This window comes from Homo sapiens, chromosome 4 (genome assembly GCF_000001405.40).
Source record: "Homo sapiens chromosome 4, GRCh38.p14 Primary Assembly".
NCBI classification, from domain to species: Eukaryota; Metazoa; Chordata; class Mammalia; order Primates; family Hominidae; genus Homo; species Homo sapiens.
This window is the reverse complement of record NC_000004.12, coordinates 30,275,361-30,282,998: the sequence shown is the minus strand read 5'-3', so window position 1 is coordinate 30,282,998 and position 7,638 is coordinate 30,275,361.

Below are 7,638 nucleotides of genomic sequence, written 5' to 3'. Positions count from 1 at the left end.
TCTGTCTCTCTCTCTCTCTCCCTCCCCTGCCAGGAACACTGTATTCCCTAAACGGCTTCCACATCATTCTTTTCATTCTCTTTTTGAATGAAATGAGGCCACTGTGATTAACTGTGTTGATTTTACTAAATGATTTATATGATTCTGATCTACTGGGATAGTAGGCCTCTAGAGCACACTATTCTTAGAACTCAAGACTGATTCTGCAAATATTTATTGAGCACTAATAACGTGGAAAGAATTACTAGCAAAAAAAAAGCATACAACATTTTACTCTTAGGAATGAAAAGTCCTGTGGAAAAAACTATAGCAAATAAGGAAAAGGATTTTGGAGGAAGTGGGTTTTAGAGGCTTCAATGGTGATGATGGTATTTTTTAAACCAAGATAGTTAGTGGGACACTTGCTGAGAAGAGAATATTTGAGCAGAGACATGATGAAGATGAAGGGTTAAGCTATAGAGATATTGGAGTGGAAGTAGGGGAGAGTGTCCCAGACAGATGGAAAAACAAGTGCAAAGGCCCTGAGGCAAGAACATGGTGACTTGGTCAAAAAGCTAAACATAGTATGGAAGTATTTCCTGCTACTCATTTTCAAATTTTTGTTCCTAGTTAACATCATGCTGTTCCACAATATTAAGGCCAAATCAGTGTTAAACTATTGTTGGCATGTCTTGGCTTGGGCTAATATAACAAAACTATCATAGACTGAGAGGCTGAAACAACAAAAGTTGATTTCTCACAGTTTTAGAGGCTGGAAAGTCTCCAGATTAAGGTCCAGCAGATTCAACATCTGGTGAGATCCCATTTCCCAGCTTGTTGACAGCTGTCATCTTGCTGGACCCTTACATGCCAAGAGGGAGATTATCTCTTCTGTATTTATTTTTACAAGGGCAATAACCCCATTTATGAAGGCTCCACCCTCATGAGCTAATTACCTCCCAAATGCCTCACTTCCAAATACTGTCATTTCAGAGATTATGTCTTCAACATATACATTTTGGGGGAACACAAACATTCAGTTCATACCAGGACATGACAAAACCACTTGAGCAGGATTCTGTAGTCACATTAATACCAAACTGTATTCTCTGTGACTTTTTAAATATAGGAACTTATCATTAAAAAAAAATCCCTACTGCTTAGTATACAATAGATGTTAATAATTGCTAAATGAAAGAATCAAAACCATTTATTAGAGATAGAGAATTTGTTTTATGAAAATAAGCAATTTGGCTATTTTTCTCATCCAGTTTCTACAACTGAATTTACTTTTGAGTTCCTGTTTACTGCCATGTTTCTAGTAACCTTCCCCAGTAAGTACTTGGTAATATTTTCCTTTGGTAGGTGCTTACTAATTTTCTGGCAGTATGAAAATCACTATACTTATAATTTTAATCTTAACATTAGTTTGTTTTAAACTCTTCTAAATAAAGAACAATGAAGTTTTGAGAAATAGTTTTCTTGCTGAAGGTCATAGCAGTTAGTGTTGGGAAGAATTATAGTGTTTACAGAGTCTTGGATGATGTAGACTAAGCACTTGCTCAAAGAATTGAAAAAGAGAGAAAAGGGAAATAATTTGATGCTTGGAAAAATTGGTTGAAATCATCATTTTGGATTATGTAAGGGGTTACAGAGCTTGCATCATAATATTTTCAGTGTTTGTTTTCTTCCAGTTGTTTGTATCCGCCCTTGGTTAAGTCTTGGGAAAGGGAAGGTAACAGAGCTTGGCTGTAACCTGGCTTTGACAAGTTTGGCCACTTCGGGCAATCTCTCTGAGGCTCACTCAGATCTATTATCTGTAAAATAGCAATAATTACACCAATGTTGCAGGTGAGTATAAGGGATAAATGAGAAAATCCAAAGACCTTAGCAAAAACGTATTAAGGACTCAGCAAAAGTAAACACCGCCATTCTTAGCAGAAACAAATCTGGAGTTCCAAATCATATCTGCCTCACTCTAAACCGTACACTGTGAGCCACTGTACACAATGACAGCTACATTTTTTTCCCCAGGAAGTTCACAGTGATAGCCTGGTATTAAACACAGATGTCTATTTGTGTACAGCTTCCATTCTTTATTTTTCTGTGTCTTTTACAGAAAAGGAAGGAATAGCACCAGCAAATAGGTGTTCCATTAAAAGACCAAGGCTGTTTACTGCAGTGTCTGGAAAGAGCTCTCTCTTTTTGTTTTTAATATTTTGTGAAAAAACATTCAATAATCTATTCCCTCAGGCAGTTTCAATTTATCCAAATTGCAAGGAAACATTTTAAGGTGAAAACTTCACTACTCTGGGTTTCACTTGAAAGAAAGAGGTGAAAAGCAAGGAGCGGATTTTCCCATCTTATTTGCTGAGACACCTGCAGAGAAATAATTCTCACTATCCTTGCCTATAGCCTATGGCCTTTACAAATATAACATCTGACAATGGTTTATTTTGGCCTTTATTCACAATTGGGAGTTAAATTCTGAGGACACAGTAAGTATTTACAGGTTGTGGGAAAAGAGGGTAAAAGTGGGACAGATGACAGCTGAAGTCTCTTACCAGTGTTACAAAAGATCAATCATACACAAGGACCTACTACCCAGAATTGGATAAAAATGAAATCTCTGTATTTTCTACCACATATTTCAGTAACAACAAAAACTTGGGGGAAAATAGCATGATAGTTATTATAATAAAATAATTATATAAAACTAAGTTTTTAGCAAATTCCACCCCCCCTTAAATATCTTTCACAGTTTATAAACTCCTGGCATAGGCATAATAGAAACTTAGAATTATTGCAGCCTAAAGATGTTAGTTTCAAGTATTTTTCACAATGGAATTGTTTTTCACATTAAACTAAAGAAGTATCCTAATATAAAAATATATTAAATGGGTGCTTTAATAAAATAAGTTATTTTATAAGTTCAAATTTAAAATACGTATACAATAAAAGTCAGTCCATGGGAGAAAAAAAAAAAGAGCCTGTTTCGATAAATACACAAGTTAGCAGCAGTTGTTCTGGGTGACAATTGCAGTTTTATATGTTTCAGTATCCAACTTATTTCCTCTTTTTTCCACTTACACAGTTTTGAAAATAGAAATCCACCTGAAGAACTCACAGTTAATGGAAGTAATTTTCAATAGGACTTTTGGAAACCTCAACACACCTTCTATTTAAACAAATGAAGGTATTTGAAATGGAAGTAAGAGATTTTTACATTAAATTTCAATACCCACTTTTCTCATTTCTGGTAAATAATGTAACAGAAAATACTCCAAACTGACAAAGAAGCATGAAAATCATATTCCAATATTATCAATAGATAAGGAGTACAGAACAATCTTGTTATTTTCAACAAATAACTGAGTAGTGAAGATCACGCATGTCTGAGAATTAACTAGTATATAGTTTAGCAGGCACTTATGTGCTTCCTAATAATTTTCCTAGGTAAGTTTAGATGATTGGATTTGCACACTTTTGTTAAAAAATCAAACACAGAATTTCAGTCATTCTTAAGTACATATTTTTAAGAAATTGTATTATATGCACAGAAACAGCAGGGGAAAAAGCCTAGTTTCTGATGTCAGCACAAAAATACCCAGTGATATAAATGTGCATTTACAAAATATTAGTATTTATTAGAGTTAAGCAGAGGCTTTTCCAAGATTTTCACCTTTATACTTTTAATATTACTTAAAACATGTTAAAAATAAAGTTCTCATTAGATTTAGAGAGACCATGAACACCTGAACACAATTTGAAAATCTTAGCTGGAGTTCATTGTTCTTCACCTCTAGGAGACAGAGAGACAAAGACAGAGATAGAGATAGAGAAATAGAGATATCATATTTAAAAATACTTCGTCAGAAACTAAACAAGAATTGAGATTATCTTACATTTATTTCAGCTTTAAAAAAAAATGGGCTGGGAGTGGTGGCTTACGCCTGTAATCTCAGCACTTTGGGAGGCCGAGGCGGCAGATGACCTGAGGTCGGGAATTCGAGACCAGCCTGACCAACATGGAGAAACCCCGTCTCTACTAAAAATACAAAACAAAATTAGCTGGACGTGGTGGCGGGCACCTGTAATCCCAGCTCCTCGGGTGGCTGAGGTAGGAGAATTGCTTGAACCCAGGAGGTGAAAGTTGCAGTGAGATGAGATGATGCCATTGCACTCCAGCCTGGGTAACAATAGCAAAACTCCGTCTCAAAATACATATATATACATGCAAGTTTTCTTGTCCAGGGCACATATATATATGTGTATATATATAGATATATATATAGATGTATCTATACACGTGTGCGTGTGTATAGATGTATCTATACACGTGTGCGTGTGTATAGATGTATCTATACACGTGTGCGTGTATACGTGTATACATGTATCTATACACGCGTGCGTGTATACATGTATCTATACACGCGTGCGTGTATACATGTATCTATACACGCGTGCGTGTATACATGTATACACGCGTGCGTGTATACATGTATACACGCGTGCGTGTATACATGTATACACGCGTGCGTGTATACATGTATCCGTACACGCGTGCGTGTATACATGTATCCGTACACGCGTGCGTGTATACATGTATCCGTACACGCGTGCGTGTATACATGTATCCGTACACGCGTGCGTGTATACATGTATCCGTACACGCGTGCGTGTATACATGTATCCGTACACGCGTGCGTGTATACATGTATCCGTACACGCGTGCGTGTATACATGTATCCGTACACGCGTGCGTGTATACATGTATCCGTACACGCGTGCGTGTATACATGTATCCGTACACGCGTGCGTGTATATGTATCCGTACACGCGTGCGTGTATATGTATCCGTACACGCGTGCGTGTATAGGTATCCGTACACGCGTGCGTATATAGGTATCCGTACACGCGTGTGTATATAGGTATCCGTACACACACATGTGTGTATATAGGTATCCGTACACACACATGTGTATATAGGTATCCGTACACATATATGTGTATATGTATCTATCTACACATATATGTGTGTATATGTATCTATCTACACATATATGTGTATGTATATATGTGTCTATACACATGTATATATGCATCTATACACATATATGTATATATATGTATCCCACTTTGCCTTCATTCAGTGGTTCTCAACTGGCATGATTTTGATACCTATGGGACATTTGACAGTGTCTGGAGACTTTTTGTCATCACAAATAAAAGAAGATATTGCTACTGGTATCTATTCAATAGATTCCTGGTGTGCTACCAAACGTCCTGCGATGCACAGAACAGTCCCCACAATTAAAGAATTTTCCAGCCCCAGATGTCAACCGGTCTTAAGGTTGAGAAACCTTGCATGAGACCACTAACGTTAAATCAGAACTTGCAAACCATTATGATTTTCTACTGGAATCTATATGGAAAAATTCTATTTTAATTAATTCTCATATTATGTAAATTGGAGCTCAAAATAATACTAAAACCACATAATATTTAATACCTAAATGTCTCAAAACTGCACAAATTACATACACCACAGATGTTTCAAAGTTTTTAAGAGTGCTTGGAATAATCATACAACTGTGGATTCTAATGACAACGGCATGGTTAGAGAGGCAGAATACTAACACACAATCATCCTGTCCTTCCATACTATTTGCCATTTTGCATGACTACTGATCATGCAGTTTTCTGGAGCTCTACTCTGAAGCAAGGCCCTCAACCTCCATACACTCTGGTATTTTGTTTTTACAGAGGTTATAACTTCCACGTGTTGTATCAGTAACACTATTACTCTGCTTGTTCCCGACTTCAAAACTTATCCAGATTATTTGATCTGGATGCTTTTGGACATAAGATTTTGTAGGTCATTTCCTGAAGGATGCGTTCTTCTCATAAATTATATCTCTGAAAATAACCTCCACTTTATAACTAGGAGGTCCTTTAATTATTTTTTAAAGAAAGAACACCATCACAAACACTGCAGAAGCATAGTTCTGTATGATGAAGGCTTATATCATGCATAATTACAAAGCTTCATAAATGCTTCTGCCATGTTACCCCTAACAGTAATTCATAAGAGAGGCTTTTCAGCCATCATTGAGCTATGGAACACTGGAAGTCAAAATTCGCAAGTTAATGTCTTGCCCTTTTCTGACAGCACACCAGATTTTCACACTATAACTAACACTTTGCTTCATTCAGCAACTGAACTGTTGACAAGGGCACTTAAACTAGTCAGAATAGAAAAAAAAATAATAAAAAGTACATCAGAAGCTAGTGAATAAGAAAGAAAAGTATATCAAATTAAAGAAAACAATAAAATAAAGAACTCTCAGCTTTTCATATCGCTAGCATCAAATATCCCAGTCGACTTTTTCTAAATCAGTTATGCTATGTATTAAATACAGTATATTTTTTCTCCTAACATACATATTTTAAGCTAGTTAGGTGGAAAAGTTTATCCTTAGCACCACATGTTATTTTAAAGGAAAGTTCTAGTCTTAAACTCATTCATTTAGTATTTCACTTTCTATTTATTGATTGACTTTGTTAGAAATATTTTCTGTGAAGATATTGACTTTTATGACAAGAGCAAGAAAATTTTTTTGTAAACATTAAAGACACAGCCAAATTTTTTTCTAGAGCCATTCTCTGGAAAAGGGGGCAGCATTCTAGGTGGGCTGGTGTGCATTAGCTAATAAGTTCTATTTTTAAACCCAGCAGTCATTTCACTCATCTCAATTCAGAATCTGTGCTCCTAGCCAAAGCCCATTTGCAATTTTGAGTTACTTGCTCTCAACCTGTCCAGTACATTAACAAATAAATCCATGTCGCACTGATATATGCTTCAGTTTTTAAGTTTAGGTCTTCTATCATGACGACTTACCTCTACCTTACCTCACCAATGGCATTATCATTAAGAACCTTAGAGACAGATGGAAATTGTAAATGTTAAGTTTATCAGCACAAACAAATGGAATATTTAACACAATAGGTATTATTAACATATTTGATTCAAGAAGAATACTTACAGGATCTTTGAAACTCATTATATAAAAATGCTAAGGTATCGCCATATATGCTAATATCTTAATTAGAACTTAATATATTATGCCAGGTGAGGTGGTCATGCCTGTACTTCCAGCATTTTGGGAGGCCAAAGCGGTCAGGAGTTCATGACCAGCTTGGCCAGCATGGTGAAACCCCGTCTCTACTAAAAATACAAAATTAACCAGTACAAAATAAATAACATAAAAAATTACCCAATACAAAAATTAACCAGGCATGGTGGCCGGCGCCTGTAGTCTCAGCTACTTGGTAGGCTGAGACAGGAGAATCACTTGAACCCAGGAGGTGGAGGTAGCAGTGAGCTGAGATCGCGCCCCTCCACTGCAACCTGGGCGACAAAGTGAGACTCCATCTAAAAATAGATAAATAAATAATAAAAGTAACAATATATTCAATTCTTTCTTTGTAAATAATTCTGTAAGGAAAAAGAGTACCTTGGGAAATACAAACCAAATACATGGATTCAAGTCCTTTAAAACCTAAAGTATAAAGTAAATTATATTTGTAATTAGGAAAGTGTATTTTTAAGATTGCCACAAAGTTGTTCATACACAAGGAATAGAGAAATTGCATAAG